General features: G+C 37.8%; 1 protein-coding gene across 9 annotated transcripts in view, besides 1 other annotated feature; it reads left to right on the top strand.

Annotated features, from left to right (window-relative positions):
* Nucleotides 1-19,772, top strand: part of MCM9 (minichromosome maintenance 9 homologous recombination repair factor) — a 121,705-nt gene that overhangs the window by 70,838 nt on the left and 31,095 nt on the right. For 8 of the 9 annotated variants that reach the window (NM_001378366.1, NM_001378364.1, NM_001378360.1 and 5 more), the window contains one exon: nt 7,777-7,951. The exons of the other annotated variant lie outside the window; for it this stretch is intronic. In NM_001378366.1, the coding sequence (NP_001365295.1) occupies nt 7,777-7,951 (175 nt within the window). The remainder of the gene's footprint in view (nt 1-7,776; nt 7,952-19,772) is intronic. 9 annotated transcript variants of the gene reach the window in all.
* Nucleotides 18,975-19,104: an enhancer, noted in NCBI's record as "active region_25014". NCBI's record gives its function as "activates an Ori minimal core promoter by ATAC-STARR-seq in GM12878 lymphoblastoid cells {active_cell/tissue: GM12878}" and the evidence as "EXISTENCE:reporter gene assay evidence [ECO:0000049][PMID:35858748]".

Here is a 19,772-nt window from a genome sequence, read left to right as displayed (position 1 = left end):
ATGGGTTTTCAAATATTGTTTGTTCTCACTTACAAGTAGAAGCTAAGCTGTGAGGACGCAAAAGCATGAGAATGATATAATGGACTTTGGGGACTCGGGGAATGGTGGGAGTGGGGTGAGGGACAAAAGACTGCTTATTGGGTACAGTGTGTAGTGCTCAGATGATGGGGGCACCAAAATCTCAGAAATCAGCACTAAAGAACTCATCCACATAACCAAAATACCACCTGTACCCCAAAAACTATTGAAATAAAAAATAAAATGAAATATGGGTTTTGTGTAAACATCTTATAGTTGGGTCTTTTTTTTTTTTTAAATCAATTCTGACAATCTCTGTCTTAATTGATATATTTAGAACATTGATGTTTAAGGTGATTATTGATAGAGGTGGATTAATATTTAGTTAGTTTGTTTTCTGTTGTTATAACTAAATACCTAAGACTGGGTAGTTTATAAAAAAAAGGGATTTATTTCTTAGAGTGCTGGATGCTAGGAAGTACAATGTAGAGGTGGCACATTTGGTAAAGGCCTTCTTGCTGATGAGGACTCTCTGCAGAGTTCTGAGGTGGTAGAAGACATTACATGGCAAGGGGCCTGAGTGTGTTAACTCTTACTTCTCTTTTAAAGCCACTAATGCCCCATCCTCATGATCTCATCTAATCCTAATTACCTTTCAAAGGTCCCACCTCTCAAATACCATAGTTGGATTTCCCACCCTCTTAATACTGTTATGATGGGGATTAAGATTTAATATGAGCTTTAGGGCCAGGGGGACAAACATTCAGACCATAACATGTGCCATATTTGTTACTATTTTTATTTGTTGCCCTTGTTCTTTGTCCCTATTTTTGTCTTTGATGCTTTTTATGCCTTTTATGGTTTTGAGCAGTTTTTATGATTCCATTTTCTCTCCTCACTTAGCATATCAATTATATGCCTTTTTAAAAACTTTTTTTAAAGTGGTTGCCCTAGAGTTTGCATATGCATTTACAACTATTCTAAGTCCATTTTAAAATAACACTATACCTGTTCACAGGTAGTGTAAGTACCTCGTAATGACAGAATATTCCTAATTTCTCCTTGTCCTTAGATCTTTCATCTCATTCATTTCACTTATACATAAGCATAATTAAACATGTATATATACCTATGCATATACAATTAAATACGTTGTTTCTATTAATATTTTAGACAAACTGTTGTCTATTAGATCAATTAAGAATAAGAAAATAAAAGTTTTTATCTTTCAGGTTTTTTTTGTCTAATGCTCTACTTTTCTCTGTATAGATCTGAGTTTCTGACCTATGTCATTTTCCTTTTCTCTGAAGAACTTCTTTTAACATTCCTTGCAAGGCAGGTCTACTAGTAATAAATTTCTTCAATCTTTGAGAAAGTCTTTATTTCTCTTTTACTTTGAAAGGATAATTTTTCAGGGTACAAAATTCTGTGTTGGGATTTTTCTCTTTTAGCACTTTAAATATTTCACTTTACTGTCTTCTTGCTTGCATGGTTTCTGAGGAGATGTCAGATGTACTTCTTATGTTTGGTCCTGTATAGCAGGGTTCCCAACCATGGCCTGTTAGGAACCGGGCTGCACAGTAGGAGGTAAGCGGCAGGCAAGTAATCGAAGCTATGTCTCTATTTATAGCTGCTCCCCATTGCTCGCATTACCACCTGAGCTCTGCCTCCTGTCAGATCAGTGGCAGCATGAGACTCTCATAGGAGCATGAACCCTATGGTGAACTGTGCATGTGAGGGATCTAGGTTGTGCACTCCTTATGAGAATCTAATGCCTGATGATCTGTCACTGTCTCCCATCATCCCCAGATGGGACTGTCTAGGTGCAGGAAAATAAGGTCAGGGCTCCCACTGATTCTACATTAGGGTGAGTTGTATAATTATTTCATTATATGTTACAATTGATGGTGGCATCAGCCCATTTGGAGCAACTGCTGAGGGGATGCCAGCTGCAGTGTGGGAGGTGTGGCCAGGGCTGTACGCTCCATGGAGCTGGCAGGGGCCAGGAACAGGTGAGAGCCCTGCCTGCTACCAAGTTGGCTCCCCACACACCCAGGTGAAGCTACAGCCACCCAGCCATGGCTCTGGACCTAGGCATCCCTGCACTCTTGGGGGCCCAGGAAGCCCCCCTTCCCCTGAAGGCTTGGAAGTACCTTTTCCTGCTCCCTGGCCTTTCCCCACTCCTGACTGTCACTCCAATTTCAGAGCAAAGTTGAAGCCAAGCCTGAACACTCTTGTGACCTGGCCAGGGGTGCCACCCCACTGCCTTGGCTCCTTCTGAAACTGTGGGTGCTGACAAGCTCAGGGAGGGAGGATGTCGGGGGGCTGAAGGTAGCTCAGCATGGGCCTACAGGCCTCCCTCATCCTGAACAGCCTGGGCAACATGGATGGCATGTTGATGGTGGCAGGAAGCAGGCAGATTCATTCCTAGGCAGGAAGGGGTGGGTCACTGGTGAAGCCCCACCTTCAAGCCAGGGACAGCCTGAAGCCTGAGGGCTAGGCTGCCGGTTCTGGATGGAGTCCACAACCTGAAGTGAGAACTTATGGTGCTTTTTCCAGGTCCACCCGTGGACCAGTCAGCATGCACTTCCTCCCTTCTGAGCCCACAAAAACCCCAGACCCAGCCAGATGCACACACTCATCAGGTCAACCTGCCTGCAGAAAGGAGCTACCCACTATAGGTCTCCTCTCTGCTGAGTGCTGGACACTTGTCAGTACAACCTGCCTGCGGAAAGCAGCTACCCACTTCGGGTCTCCTGAGAGCTGTTCTGTAACTCATGAAGCTCCTCTCCACCTTGCTCACCCTCCAGTTGTCCAAGTACCTCATGCTTCCTGGAGATGAGACAAGAATGCAGGACCTGTTGAATGATGGGACTGAAAGAGCTGTAACACAAACAGGGCTGAAACACGTCCCTCACTCACCACATTGTGGGTGACGAGAAGGAGTGAAGAGCTGCAGCCCTTTTAGCTGCCCAAACATTGGGGCTCCCTGAGCCAGGGCTGTGACATGCTTTAACACCCTCTTTGGGGCTCTGCAGTTCCTGGTGTCTCCGAGTTTTTGGGCACCATCGTGTTCCCTTTGTTCAGATGCTGGTGCCTGCAGTAGAAGCTGCTTATGGTACGTCTGGTCCAGCTGCAGCCTCACATGGAACCGGTACCTGGAGCTGCCCGCTCCACCACAGCTGGCATGCCTGGCTGTGCACAGTGGCTGGACACCACACTCATTCACTGACACACCTGTGGCCGTCCCATGCCTGGCTTGCCATTGGCAGACATGAGATCTGGGCCGGTAGTAGTGTGAGCCAAGCGCAGCCTGCTGGGCTGAATGGGTGGAACAAGCCCAGCAGATGTGAGTAAAACTCATGCAGCGGCACCTCCAACCACAGAGGTTTCCAGCTGGCAAAGCGACATCCTAAGGATCCTGTGACATGATGTGATAATAGAAATAAAGTGCACAACAAATATAATGCACTTGAATCATCCCTAAACCATCCCCACTCTGGTCTGTGGAAAAATTTTCTCCACGAAACCAGCCTCTGGTGCCAGAAAGGCTGGGGACCACTGCTCTATAGGTAAGCTGTTTTTCTTCCTCTGGCTTCTTTTATGATTTTTTTTTAATCTTTGATTTTCTGAAGTTTGAATGGAATGTGCTTGAGTGTAGGGTTTTCTTGGGCATTCATTTTGCTGGTGTTCTCTGAGCACCCTGGATTTCTAATTTATTGTCTGACAGTATTTCAATGAAATGTTACACAATATTGCTTCACCTATTGCCTCTGTCCCTTTCTCTCTTTATTGTTATTCTTTTATTCCCATCACATGTATGTTACACCTTTTGTAGTTGTCCCACAGTTCTTGGATATTCTCTTCTTTTTTGTTTTGGAAGTTTTAATTGACGTATTTTCAAGTTCAGAGATTCTTTCTTCAGATGTGTCCAGCCTGCTAATAAACCCATTAAAGGCATTCTTTATCTTTGTTAGAGTGTTTTTGATCTCTAGTATTTCTTTTTTATTGTATCTCAGAATTTCTATTTGTTAACTTTATCCATCTGTTCTTTCATATTGTCTACTCTTTCCATTAGATCTCTTAGCATATTAATCATAGTTGTTTTAAATTCAGTTTGATTATTTCAATGTCCCCGCCATATCTAGATCCGATTTTGATGCTTGTTCTATCTCTTCAAACTGTATTTTCTGCCTTTTAGTATGCCTTGCAATTTTTTTGTTGAAAGGTAGACATGATGTACTAGGAACAAGGAAAATTGTGGTTAATATGCCTTTAGTATTGCAGTGATAAGGTGTTGGGGAAGGGAAAGGATTCTATAGTCCTGTGATTAGGTCTCAGCCTTTTAGTGAGCTTGTGTCCCTGGGCTGTGAACTTCACACGTGCTTCTCAGTTTTTTGCATATTCACCCCCTTGGGTGGTACCAGATGACTGGAAGGGGTTGGAGGTGGATATTGCCCTTCTTCCAGGTAGATAAGGCTCTGGTAAAATAGTTCCTTTTGAGGACAGGCATTGTTAAGAACAGGAAGTTCTGGCGTATTTCTAAATGGTTCCTTTTCCCTCTCTCTGCCAGAAGCAAGAGTAGATTTTACTCTCATCTTCACTGTGAGTTGCTGGTAGAGCTCTCAGTGGTAAAACTCGCAGAAAATCTAGGGGTTTCCCTATGATGGGGTCCTTCTTGATTTTTCCACTGTGAGCCATTAGCAATTTGCTAATAATAGTTCAAATTTTCTTGCCTGTTTTTCTTACATAAAAGTTTATGCTCATGAATTTCTGCTCAGCTAAGTTGTGGTTCTCTGTATCTGCCTGACCATCTTCAGTTTTGGGGCAGTAATTTGTCCTCTGATCTCATTTCTCTGATGGGTCTAAGAAGTTACTGATTTTTTTGTTTAGCTTTTTACTTGTTAGGTTGAAGTAGTGACTTGTAAGCTCCTTGTGTGCTAGACTGGAAACCAAAAGAATTCACAGCTATTTTCTCCTGTGTTTCCTTTCTTTCTTTATAGTTTTACACTTTACATTTAGGTATTGAATTAATTTTGGATTAATTTTTATATTACATGTGAGGTATGATCAAGATTCATTTTTTCTTCTTGCATGAAGATATTCAGTTACTCCAGCACCATTTGTTGAACAGATTATCTTTTCTCCATTGAATTGCCTTTTTATTTTCTATAAAAAATCACTTGACCTTCTATGTGTGGGACAACTTTTGGATTCTGTTCTGTTCCAGTGTTCTATCTGCCTAACCTTTTTCCAGTACCACACTGATTTGATTACTGTAGCTTTGTAGTATGTCATGTGAGACCTCCAAGCTTGTTTTTTGGTTTGGCTCTTCTATCTCCTTTGCTTCTCTATATAAATCATAGAATCACCTTGTCACTTTATTTATTTTTTAAAAAATCATGCTAGGATTTTGCTTGTAATTGCATTTAACTACAGAACAGTTTGGGGAGAATTGACATCTTGAAAATAGAGTTTTCCAATTTTTAAGAATTGACATCTTGAATATAGAGTTTATTTCGTCTCTCAATTTGGTTGTCATGATTTCCTCTGTCAGTGTTTTGTAGTTTTGCATAGAGATTCTTGCATGTATTTTATAAGACTTATACCCAGATATTCCATATGTTGACTTGTGTCCTCCAGCCTTGCCACACTCGTTTACTAGTTCTAGTTGGTTTTTAGTAGATTATTTGGGATTTTCTATCTAATCATATTGTCTGCAAATTTAAACAGTTTTATTTATTTATTTTTCAGTCTGTATGTTAATTATTTCTTTTCCTTGCCTTATTTCAGTGGCTAGAACCTCTAGCATGATTTTGATTAACAGTGATAAGAAAAAAATCTTGCTTTTTTCTGATCTTTGTAGGAGATGAGGAAACATTCAGTCTTTTATCACTAAGTATGTTAAATATAGGATTATTGTAAATACCCTTTATCAAGTTGAAGAAGTTCTCTTCCGTTCCTAATTTTTTGAGAGTTTTATCACAAATGATTGTTGAGTTTTGTGAAATGTATTTTCTGTATCTATTGAAGCAATTGTATGCTCTTTCTTCCTTAGCTTATTGATATGGCGAATTACACTGATTAATTTTCGAATGTTAACTTCACCTTGCATTCCTGGGATAATCCTCACTTGGCTATAATCTGTTATCCTTTTATGTATTGTTGGATTTGATTCACTTGCATTTATGAGGATTTTCGCATCCATATTAGAGGTACTAGTCTATAGGTTTCTTATAATATGTCTTTGCCTAGTTTAGTATGACAATTCAGTTATGACAATTAGTATGATAATTCTGAGTTCATTAAATGAGTTGGGAAGTGTTTACTCTTCTCTATTATTGAAAAATTTGTGTTGCATTGACATTATTTCTCAAATATTTGGTAGAATTCACTATGAAGCCATCTCAGCCTGCAGATTTCTGTGTTGGAAGGTTTTTAAATATTTAATTTTCAAAACAAATAAAGGATTATGGAAGTTATCTGTTCCTTTTTAGATAAACTTTGCATATTTCAAAAAAATTTGACTATTTTGTTAAGTTATCAAATGTATGGCATAGAGTTATTCATAGTATTTCCTTATTATTAGTTCATTATAGGATCTATAGTTATGCCCCCTCTTTCATTCCTGATATTTGTAACTTGTGTCTCCTCTTTTTTTTTTTTTTTTTTTTTTTGGTCAGTCTGGACAGAAGTTTATCCATTTTTATCAACAATAGTTATTCTTAACGTACTCATGTTTCATATACCTTTTAATGAGCTTTAGTTATATTTTATTTAAATATCCAAGAATCTCTAAGATACTTTCTATTGTTATCCTCTTTTGCAGATTAATAAAGTCAGGCTTGTATATATTAGGAAACTTGCCTATAATTCAACAGCTAGAATGACAGCTCTAGGATTCAAATCAAGTCTTGTTGACTCCAAAGCCTTTTCTTCTGACCATTCTGCTTTATTGACTGGTATACAGGACAAATAAAAATCAACAAGACATATGAAGAGAATCCCTTCCCTCATATTGTAACTGGAAGCAAACTTTTCATTTTCATCATTGGAATGTAATAATTACTATTCTCTATCACTGGACCCTTTTCTGTAAACAGCGTATAGTACACACCCTCTGTCATAAGGTCTCTGGAGATCTGTTTGCCCCTTCCAAAAGTTTAGACCACTCGACCAGAGGACCTACAAGGAGAGACAGAAAATTTGAGAACTTCTGGTTGCTACAAAATACTGGAGAACACACCTTACATTTTTAGAACATAGGAGCTTATGAGGCCTTCCAGTGACTAGATATGTGAAGCAATTGTCCTGATGCCATCCATTCTTGGTTAACTGCAAATAAAAGTCTTTATGCCCTTCTCTTTAAAATGTAGGCATTTCTTTCCTTTCATAGGTTAAGATATGCCTTTTTTGTTTTTTTAAGACAAGATCTTGCTCTGTCACCCAGGCTGGAGTGTAGTGGCTCTAATATGGCTCACTACAGCCTTGACCTCCTGGGCTCAAGCGATCCTCCCGCCTCAGCCTTCTGAGTAGCTGAAATTACAGGTGCACACACCACTGTGCCCAGCAAATTTTTAAATTATTTGTAGAGACAAGGTTTTGCCATGTTGTCCAGGCAGGCCTCGAACTCCTGTGTTCAAGAAATCTTCTCACCTCAGCCTCCTAAACTGCTGGAATTACAGGTGTGAGCCACTGCGCCCAGTCAAGATAATGCTTTTGAAAATAAAAGTTGATATGGCTTGCTTGTTTCCTCAGGTCTGACGGTAACTGCTGTAAAAGACTCAGGAGAATGGAATTTGGAGGCTGGGGCATTAGTTCTTGCAGATGCGGGCCTTTGCTGTATTGATGAGTTCAATAGCCTCAAAGAGCATGATAGGACCAGTATCCATGAAGCAATGGAGCAACAAACCATAAGTGTTGCTAAGGCTGGGTAAGAGTTTCTTTAAAATCTATGGGAATAATGAGATTATTTAATATATGCTTAGGGGAAAATGTGAACCTTGTTGAGCTATAAGGTATGTTTGGTCCTCTTTGGGATGATCAGTTACCACCCTTCAAGACACACATTAGAGTTTTTCCTTATTAGACCACAGAAGTGTGTGAGGAAATAAAAATGAGCTATTGGGAAAGAGAAAAGGAAAAGTAAAGTATAAATGTGGTTGACTAAACTAGTGGAAGGGATTTTTGAAGAGCTTTCAATGCAGGATTCAACTCATTCTCTTTTTCATTCAGTAAACATTGTATGTGTACTCTGGGCATATTTCTGTGTTAGGAATTTTGAAAAGTTCAAAAAGAAAAAAGAAATCATAGTTTCCAGCATTCTCCTTATAAATCCTCATGGAAGGTTGATTACAGCATATGGAATACTAAATAGTAAATAATGTAAGCATAAGATGAAATGCCTTTTGTGATTCAAAGAGGCTCAGGATTGAGCTGTGTGAGTCCCTGGCTACACATAAAGTGGAGGAAAAAAATAAGCCAGGTTCAGACAGAAATCTCACACAGGCACTGAAATGGTTATAGGAAACTTACCTGGCTACAAAGGCTGGCCACCAAACAGGCTGCCAGGTCATTCAAGCAGTAACAGGGCTAGAACTGTTTCCGTCTTAATGCTGCTATTATGGATGTGAAGCCAACTGATCAGACAGGTAGGGCTGCCAGCAGTGTCTTCTAATAGTTATGAGTACTTGGGAGCCAGGCAGACACTGGTATATAGAGATTCTATGAGATCTATTTGTATACTCCAGCAAAAAATTAATGGAGGAGTGAGGTAGAGGGAGGGGGGGAGAGTAGGATATAGCCCACCAGAAAAGATACAAGAAAGAACTATTAGACCTATTCATTTGTTCGTTCACTAAATATATATACTCATTAAAGACCTGCTATGTTTCAGGCATTGTGCTAGATGCTAAGAAGTACAAAGATGAATAGAACATTGTCCTTCAGGTATTCACGGTTTTATTAGAAAAGATAGATAAAAATGACAGCAAAGCGATAAGTCCACAATAGAAGTGTTATAAGAAAATATACTTTAATTATTGCTTCTAAACTCTTTGATTGAGGAAATCAGAAGTATAGTTTATTAAGTGTCTTCAGAGGCTGGTTTCTTTTCTCATTATATCTCCATTTAATGAGCTTTTTGTGCTATCTGTAAGTATGTTGTAAGTTCCAAAATCAGCATTCTGTAGCTGATTCTGTTCAGTTATTGCACCAAAAGGCCAGGCAGTTTGTCATAACCACAGCTACTTTGTGCACTGGAAAAATGCTTTTTCCACTCTATGTGGTAAAGGACTGGTTTTGACTTATTTTTTACTCCATCACTGAGAAATATTGTTATAAAATACAAGAAAAAATAATTATTAAAAATGTGAAATGAAAAAGCAATGACATACAAATATTTCAGTAAATTAAATCCAATACTATATAAAAAGGGTTATACATTATAACCAAGTGGGTCTTATCCCAGAAATGAAAGGTTGGTGTAACATTTGAAAATCAATCAATGTATTAGACTAAAAAACAAAAAGCATATCCCAATAGATGCAGAAAATGTATTTGATGAAATTAAATACTCATTCATAATAAAAGTTCTCAGCAAACTAGAAGTTTCTTTCCCTGTTTAAATGCTATCTATGAAAACCTACATGAGGCTGGGCACAATGGCTCACGCCTGTAATCCCAGCACTCTGGGAGGCCAAGGCAGGTGGATCACCTGAGGTCGGGGATTGGAGACCAGCCTGGCCAACATGGTGAAACCCCCTCTCTACTAAAAATACAAAAATTAGTTGGGCATAGTGGCACATGCCTGTAATCCCAGCAACTCGGGAGGCTGAGGCAGGAGAATCGCTTGAACCTGGGAGGAGGAGGTTGCAGTAAGCCAAGATCGTACTCCACTGTGCTCCAGCCTGGGCGACAGAGTGACCTCTGTCTAAAAACAACAACAACAACAAAAAACACCTGCGTCTCATACTTCATGGTGAAAGACAGTGTTTTCCACTTAAGATTAGGAGCAAATTAAGGATGTCAGCTCTTCTCATTTCTGGTCAATATTGTACTAGAAGTATGGTCAGTTTAGTAAGAAAAAGAAATAAAAGACATTCAGAATAGAAAGGAAGAAGTCAAAACTGCTTGTATTCTATGTGGCATGATTGTCTACATAGAAAAACAAAAAGAATTTAAGAAAAGCTACTAGAACTTATAAGTGAATCTTAAAAGGTCAATGTATAAATATTAATTTCTGTTTGCTAGCAGTGAACAACTGGAAATTGAAATAAAATATACATTTATAATAGCATCTCCAAATAGGAAGTATTTCAGGATAAATTTAGCAAAATCTATTCTACATTTATACATTAAAAACTGCAAAACATTAAGAAAATTAAAAAGGACTTAAATGGAGAGATAGATACCTAGTTTCATCTATCAGACTTAATATTGTTAAGATGCAAGTTCTCCCCAAAGCGATCTGTAGAATCACTGCATTTAAAAAAAAATTTGTTTTTGAGACAGAGTCTCACTTTGTTGCCCAAGTTAGAGTACAGAGGCCCGATCATAGCTCACTGCAGCCTTGAACTCCTGGGCTCAAGCCATTCACCCACCCCTGAGTAGCTGGGACTTACGGGGACGCACCACTATGCCTGGCTATTTTTTAAATTTTATTTTCTGTAGAGGTGGGGTCTTGCTATGTTGCCCAGGCTGGTCTCAAATTCTTGGGCTCAAATGTTCCACTTGCCTCGGCCTTTCAGAGCACTGATTACAGGCATGAGCCACCATGCCCAGCCCAGTGCAATTCTAATCAAAATCCCAAACACCACCTGTTCCCCAAAAACCTATTGAAATTAACAAAAAAAAAAATCCCAACAAGCTTTTTTGTAGAAATCGGCAGGCTGGTTTTAAAGTTTATATAGAAAAGCACAGAATAGCCAAAGTGACTTTGAAACAGAACAAATTTGGAGGACTTACGTTGTTTTAAGATTTGCTATAAAGCTGTAATTATCAAAACATTGTGACATTGGATAGACTCTTCAATGGAAGAGAATAAAGGTCCAGAAATAGACCCACAGATAATGTCAATTGATATTCAAGAACGATGTCAAATAATTCAACAGAGAAAGGATAGTTTTTTTTTAATTGTGCTAGAACACTTGACTATCCATATGTTTTCCCACCTACAAAGACCTATACCCAAATGGTTTATAGCAGCTTTGTTCATATTCACCCAAAATTATATAAACAACCCAGAAGTTTATCGACTGATAAATGGATAGGTAAATCTTGATGGACCCATACCATGGAATACTACTAGCAATATAAAGGAACAAACTGCTGATACACACATGAATCAACAACGTGGATGAATCTTAAAACCCTTATGTGAAGTGAAAGATGACAGGTACAAAAGGCTATATAGTTTGTTATTCCATTTATATGAAATGCTACAAAAGGCTAAACTGTAAGGAGAAAAATCAGAAATTTCTGCTAGGGGGTTAGAGGAAGAGAATGACTATAGAAGGGCATTTTTTTAAAAGATGACTTTTACTATATGTAAATTATGCCACATAACCGTTAATTTTAAAAATATAAAAATGCATATATTTTATTTGTAGATTCAACAGACATGAATTCACTCTGCCCAGTTGCTATTGAAGTTTCCAAACACTTACTCTTCCCATACTCATCTCTTCCCTGCTTGGTAACAGTGTATGAGTGGCAAGTTCACAGCTGAAGCTTGGGGTCAGGACAGTATACCTACATTTGGAAGGTTATGTAAAGTAATAATAGTGCCTGGGGAGGCGATACCATTTATGATCAGTAAAATCCTTTTTTAATTGGAGTGACATCTTCCAAAGGAAATAATTTGAAGGATAAATCTTTAGATTGGATTTTTTTTTTTTGTCTGTTGGAAAGGAGAAGACATAAAGCTGTAAAGCTAGAAGGTGAGAGATTTGAACTTTAATTATTTTGCTACTCATATTTATAGTCAAGTTTTCATTATTTCTCCTTTAAACCATCTGTCAAACATGTAATATATAGTTATACGCCACATAACATTTTTGCCAGTGATGGACCACATATATGATGGTGGTCTCATAAGATTAGAATACCTTATTTTTGCTGTGTTTAGATATGTTTAGATGCACAAATACATGCCTTTGTGTTACAGTTGCCTATGGTATTCAGTACAGTAACGTGCTGTGTAGGCTTGTAGCCTCGGAGCAATAGGCTATACCATATAGCCTAGGTGTATAGTAGGCTGTACTCTCCAGGTTTGTCTAAGTACACTCTATGATGCTTGCAACAGAACAGATCGCCTTATGATGCATTGCTCAGAACATAGCCTCTTGTTAAGCAACCTATAACTGTATATTGAAAGGAGTTTTGCCTGAGAAGTACTTTGAGTATTTTGACTTAATGTAGATTTCTCAAGAGCTGCTTTTTTAGACCACCGCACTGTGGTAGGCATTGTTATTGTGGTATTACTGTGCAAAAATGTGTATTATTATAGTTTCAAGATAAGGTTCTTTCCTTGTTTCTGTTTTGTCTTAGCCACTATCTAGAATTTAATACCTCCTTGAACTATGACATGGATCACAACCAGTATTTTAGCCTTGCAATTTCTTTACATTTACGTAAGAATTTTTACTTTTCTGAGCATTTTAACACATAGATTTCATTTAAAGATTACTATAATTATTTAATGCATTAAAGGAATTACAGGATCTTTGTTCTCCTCTAGTTATTATTGTAAAACTAGCATTCTATTTTGTTCCTCACCCCACATAACTAATTTCTGGGTTCATAAAGACATTTGTACAATTTTATTATCATGCATTTTAAAAGATATTTAGTTCCTAAATATTACATAACCATGTAATTATGATAACTCTATTCAGTGGTTTGTACCTTTTATTTCTCCATCTTGAAAAGGTTTCTTTTTTCTTGATCAATTTAGTGAAGACATTTTCTAATTACCTTATAGTAACAGAGCTTGGGTTCTTATGGTCTCCTCTGATCTTACTGAACAGTTCATTTGTAGCCTATTCCCAGGGATGACAGGACCACCATGTGCTCACTGGCATCTACTAGTAGCTGCTTTTGATTTGAAATGAAATGTTTCTAATACATGCTGGCCTGAAAATTTCAACCAGACTTCACATTTCTCACATGGTTCAATAATTTAGGCTGGGTACAGTGGCTCATGCCTGTAATCCCAGCACTTTGAGAGACTGAGAGAGGAGGATCCCTTGAGCCCAGGAGTTCAAGACCAGACTGAGCAAGATGGCAAGACCCCCATCTCGATACAAAAAACAAAAAAACAGCCAAGTACAGTGGTGTGCGCCTGTAGTCCCAGCTACTCAAGAGGCTGAGGAGGCCCTTGAACCCAGGAGGTCAAGGCTGCAATGAGCTATGATCACGCCACTGCATTCCAGGCTGGGCAACAAAGTGACATCTCTTTAAAAAGAATTAAAATTTTATTTAAAAACAGAGCATACAACCTGGATTTGAGTCTCTTCTGTCTTGGATTATTCGGTTCTGTGTTTTCCATACAGAGAATGTGGCCTGAAACAAGAACCCCCAGGCGGAGCAGATGCTTCCAATAGATCAAACACTACTTTAAACTGCCACCGTTGCCACTCAGGACAACAAATACCAACAATAACAACAGTGAATATCCCTTCATTTAAAGCAAAGCAAAATTAAATTGTTGATAATTTTGTTAAAAATAATTCAGTTAAAGAGCTTTGGGGTCGGAGAGACCTAGAATAAATTCCAGCCACTGTTACTACTTTTTTAATATTGTGGGTGATAACTGTCGTCTCTGATACAAAAATAACACCCTTCTTACAGGGATATTCTCAAATAGAGTTCATGTATGTCAACTTAGGCCTGGGTCAGAAGATACTTATGACTCTTCAAAATTATTTTATTTCATATGTATATAAAGGTGTTTATAGGATTCTCTGTATTTCTGAATGCATTTACATCTCCAAAATAGTTTCAGAAATATTATATCAACACCATTACCAATAATCACAAAAAACTAATATTCAAGCTCTCTTTGCAGTCCTTTATTGTGCTTAGATATACCACTGAGGTTATATGTTGTTAAAGTGCATGTTCAAAAGTAGTTTGAATGCTTTTCTTTGTGTAGTTATATTATTTATTCGATATACAGTTAAGAAGTTGTCTTTGAAACTTCTGTTTTCATTCACTTATAACATTTGCTGTTTTTACCTTTTTTATTTAATTGTATTTTCCAAATTTGCAAAATATAGCTTGTTTTAACAAAGTCAAACCTATATAAAAAGACATGCAAAAGAAATCACATTCGTATCCCTACCCTTTCCATTCTGTTTTCTTCCATCCCTGATAGATATTCATTGGTTTCTGATTTGTCCTTCCTATGTTTCTTTTTTTTGGAAAAATAAGCAAAACCCATGGGGATAGGTATGTGTGCCTGTTTATGCATCTCCCCTCTTTCTTATCCAAAAGATAGCAAACTGCATATACTCCTTGGCACTGCTTCAGTGGTATCCCATAGACGATTATATGTAGTATTCTTATTATCATCGTGTTTTAGAAATTCTGCAGTTTTGTTTTGTATCCCCTTTCTCCCAAGAGTTGCTTAGAGAGTTTTTAGTCTCTAAGTAGAAGGACCACTTTTTGATGTGAATAATTTCTAGTTTTATCCCATTGTGGTCAGAGAATGTTGTTTGTGTTGTTTCTTTAAGGAACTTCATGAGGTTTTTATCTTTGCAGCCTAATATAAGGTCAATTTAATACTGGCCCTTTTATGCTTCAGGAATTATATTCTGTATAATGAGAATATAATGTATATATATTATACACACACACACACACACACACAAACTGTACCTTATAAATGATGTTATTTAGGTCTTCTATATCCTTACTTACCTTTTGTTTGTTTGATGCATTTTAGACCAAGAGTGGTGTGTTAAAGTCTCTTATTACTGGGTTTTTGTTTGTTTCTCTTTGCATCTCTTGTAATTTCTGCTTTATGAAGGTAGTTGTTGTGGCCTTTAACATTTGTACTTCCTTGTCTTAAATGCTTTGTGGCCTGAATTTTACCTTGCCTATATCAGGATCACAACTCTGGATTTCATAATATTTATATTTGTCTAATATATCTTTGCTCATTTCTTTATGTTTAGCCTTTTGATTTCAATCTGTTCTTTTGTATGCAGCGTAGAATTGGGCTTAGCTTTATGAACAATCGAAAAATCTTTTAATGTGTTAGGTAAGCACACTTACATTTATTGGTATAATCAATATGCTTGGTGTCAACGGTTTTATTTTTTTAAAACTTACTGTGTTTATTTTTCTGTGCATTTAGGAAGGTTTGCTTTTTTTTTTGGAAACAAAGTCTTGCTCTGTCACCCAGGCTGGAGTGCAGTGGCACAATCTCAGCTCACTGCAACCTGCTCCTCCCAGGTTCAAGCAGTTCTCCTGTCTCAGCCTCCTGAAGCTGGGACTACAGACACACGCTACCATGCCTGGCTACTTTTTTGTGTTTTAGTAGAGATGGGGTTTCACCATGTTGCACAGTCTGGTCTCAAACTCCTGAGCTCAGGCAATCTGCCTGCCTCAGCCTCCCAAAGTGCTAGGATTACAGGAGTGAGCCACTGCGCCTGGCTGCATTTTTATTATAGGTTAGGGGTTGGCAAACTTTTTCTGTGGAGATTAGGATAGCAAGTATTTTAGACTTTGTGGGCCAAACTGTTGGAACTACTCATCTCTGCTGATGTAGACGGTATAACTGTATCAATATGTCTGTGATGTAAACAAGAGAAGCCATAATATGTAAACAGATGGGAGTGGCTGTGTTCCAATAAATTTTTATTTATTGTAACAGATTGTGGGCTGCATTTGGACTGTAGTTTGACAACCCCTATTCTAGGGCTTACGTTTTATAATACCTTTTATAATGCCTACAGCCTCATTTCTCCTCACTTGGGAACTTTAAATAATATCATATGACTCCAGTCTGTTAGCCATGTAGTAATCAGTGAGCCTATTTTACTTTCCCCTTTCTCCCTTCTTCTCTTCACTTAAATAAATAGTTGTATTATTTGTACTTTGTCAGAACAAATAGCATTTACTTACTATTCTTCCACTTTTATGCTTTCTTTTGCTTTGGTCTATCTAAAATGAAGTGCTTCACCATTGGTCTTTTTGGGAGGGCCAGGGCATCATCATCATCTCTTGGTTGAATGAAGCCCATCCTCTAGCAGATGCCTTAGGAGGGGCTCCTGATTATTGTCTTGAATTTTTCCATGTTTCAAATCATTTTTCATAGCATTGACACTTGAAAAATGAAAGATAGCTTGGCTGGATATAAAGACCTTGGCTTATACTTTCTTTCCTAAAGTCTTGCTTTCTATGTTGCTATTGACAAATCTGATGCCATTCTGATATCACTTGCTCTAAAGGTGATTTAGTTTTTTTGCCTGAAGTCCCAGAGGGTTTTTTCCTTTATCTTTAAAGTATAATATTTTTACTAGACTATGTCTCAGTTGATTATTCCTGGTCAGTTTTTCTAGATATCAGTGAGCTTTTGACATGTATTCTTTTATCCCTGGAAATTTTTATTGAATGATTGTTTGACACTCTAGTTCAGTTCTTTGTTTTGTTTTTATTTTTCAGAAGCTGTAATTATTTATTTGTTAGAATTTTTCCTAGGCTCTGCAGCAACCATTTTTTTTTCTTAAACTTCTTAGCTCATCTGTATTTTGTTTTATTCTCTTGGCTATTTTTATTCCTCTCCTTAGCACCCTTTATTATATTTTCAGTCCTGTCGGTCCTTTCTTAGACACCTTAGATTCAAATGTTAATTTCTTTTTTTTTTTTTTTTTTGAAGATTCATGGGGCACATGAGCATGTTTGTTACATGGGTATATTACATAATGGTAGGGCCCATCGCCCAAATAGTGAACACAGTCCCCAGGAGGTAGTTTTTCAACCCTTGTCCATGTCCTTTGCTCCCCAGTTTTGGAGTCCTCAGTGTTTGTTGTTTCCATCTTTATGAACATGTCTACCCGTTGTTTAGCTCCCACTTAAAAGTGAGAACATGCAGTGTTCGATTCTCTGTTTCTGCCTTAATTAGATGTTCATTTCTGAGAGTATTTCCTCTTCCTCCCTTTACATCCATTTCTTTCTTCAGTTTTATCATCTCTGGATATACATCTTCTGCTTTTTGGTGCTTTTATATTGTGAATTTTTGAATTTCTGATTTGGAATGGTTTTTCCTATTTGCAAATGTTTGCTTAAGGATATTCAAGTCAGGGCACTGTGTTACAGATTTCCTTTGCTTTGTGGGGTTTTTTTGGGGCAGGGTAGGGAGATGAGGGTTTTATCAACGGAAGTATTTTTATTCTTGTAGTAGTTTTATGGAGCTGCATGTTATTTCCATTCATTTTAAAATGTCTTATGTTTTTCTGAATCATTATTAGTAGGTATTCTATTAAGGTGATGGTGAGGTTGGATGGTATACTAATTTTTAGTTCAGAGGAATCTCAGTTAAGTGCATTTTACTTAATAGTGTTTTCCATAAGGGGATGGTTGATTTGTCTGTTTTGTGGTTCTTATTTGTTTCTATAGGATGTTTAATATCCACTGCTTGCCTCCTTCTTCACCTGATCACCAAGACTCCAGGCGACTCTTGCCCCTTGCCGGTCTCCTCTATCTACTCCGGGATCCTTCCCATGACTGCCAGCTCTGGTCCCCGGAACTTTCAGGCCCCTCTGTCTATTCTCCAGTAGTCAATGACTTTGATTCACAAGGTCTGAAACCTGTTCTCAATATTTCCCCACTCTACATGGGATTCTCTCCTCCTCCTGGCATTTTATCTGTGTTCTCCAGCATGAGGCCCCCATTACTTTCTCCTCCTTTCACTTAGTCTCCACTGATCTTTCCACTCCAGTAAGGGCTCTAGAGTTAGCTTTGCTGGTTTCTGGTGTTTATTTCTCTATTTATATATAAACTGAAGTTTGTAGTATTCTTCCACTTTCTTTGTTAGTTTTTAGTTTGATGAGTTTTGTTTTATGGGTTTATTTGCTTGCTTTGTTTATCCGTAAGGTCTTTGGAGGATATGTTGAAGTATGGCTATAAGTAGCTGCCATTATCATATGGGAACCTAGAAATCAACATTTCATTTTTTAAAGTTATTCTTTCTTATATTATTTAACTCTTAAATGTTGACTTTTACTGTATATTTTATATATTTTTAGTATATTACTCATTTCTGAACCACATATAGGAAAAGTAATTGGAGAAGTGGTTGTCTACAATTATTTTGAAGAGCTCAAATATAGAAATGGAATGAGATTTGTTCATATCCTTTAGAATCAATGGCTGGAAGGTTCAGGGAAGCATATTTAAAATTAGTACAAGGAAGACTTATTAATGGTTAGCGCTGCCTAAAGATCAGGTAGGTTGCCTCTAGGGTTATAGAGGCCTTCAGGTTTAGACTAGAAAAAATTTCTATAAAAAATTCAGTTATCCAGTGAGTAAATAGATAACCTTTAGGGTTAACCTTTGCCACCTATGACAGGCTGCAGATCATGAGCTGGCCTACAAATTCAGCTGTAGGATGGTTTATTGTAGACTATGTACATAAAATATGGTTTTATATTTTATTACAAAACATTGAACATCCTGTGCTAGATATGGAAAAAGTTCAGGAAACATCAAGAGCTCTCCCTCTTCTCCAGTGGAATTGAAAAAATAAAGTAAAAAACAACCAACAAAAAAATTTTTTTAAAAGAGCTCCCCGCTTTTTTAGTGACTGCAAAAATACACTGGGCATAGACAGAATTACTGTAATAATTGAGGGCAGAGAGTCCAGAGCTAGTCTGGGCTATATGGCGGTTCCAGCTTCACAACTTGCTAGCTGAGCACATTACTGAACTCTCCGTAACTACTGTTCTACTGTAACATAATTTGGGGGAAAGGGAGTTTATTTAAAGTAGATGTATATATATTAGCAGCTGTATTATCTCATCGCCACCACAGCATCAGAAGTTTATTCATCTTCAAACCTATTCTCTTCGTTATTATGACTCAGGTACTTTCTGTTGCTGATTTTTTTGTGTGTGTTTGTGGGTCTTTTAGGCTTATTCAGCTGTTCTTAGTAGATGAGTTCTCCTTCCTGTCTCCGTTTCAAATGCCCTCTAGAGAGACCCAGTTAAATACAGTCATCCATATTTAAAGATTTATGCAAGACCAACTCTAGACTCCTGGCTAGTTCATTGATTGGCTGCTCTTGGGTCAGGTGCCAATCACTGCTGTGGGCAGCTGTTCCTGTATGGCTGTTTACACAGAAGGAATTGTGGGGTTATGTGCTTGGGGTACTTTCCAGTGTTTGGCCTGTCCAGAACTGTAATGAAGACAAAGAATCACTTAAGAAATATACTAAAGAACAGGTGATAAAACAAGAGTCTGTTTGTCAGCGCTGGGAAACAATTGTTTAGACAGACAGAACAGTCTGGACAATCAGTGTGTATAGGAGGTAACTCTTCATGAGAAAAGTCTTGAGTTCAGCGGGTTTCAAAGAGACAGGCAAAAAGGATGGCGAGGGTTTAAAGACAGTACTTAGTCTTCTGTACCTATTGAGATGAAGACTCTAGTTCAGGCTCTGTAATAGTTTTTACAGTTTCTGCCAAGATCATAGCTGTCACCAATTACGTGATCTGTTTTCTTCCATTTAAGTTGTCCTTTTAATTTTTTTT

This window comes from Homo sapiens, chromosome 6 (assembly GCF_000001405.40).
Source record: "Homo sapiens chromosome 6, GRCh38.p14 Primary Assembly".
Classification (NCBI taxonomy): domain Eukaryota; kingdom Metazoa; phylum Chordata; class Mammalia; order Primates; family Hominidae; genus Homo; species Homo sapiens.
Note: the sequence above shows the minus strand (reverse complement) of the source record. Positions and strands in the feature narration are given on the sequence as shown.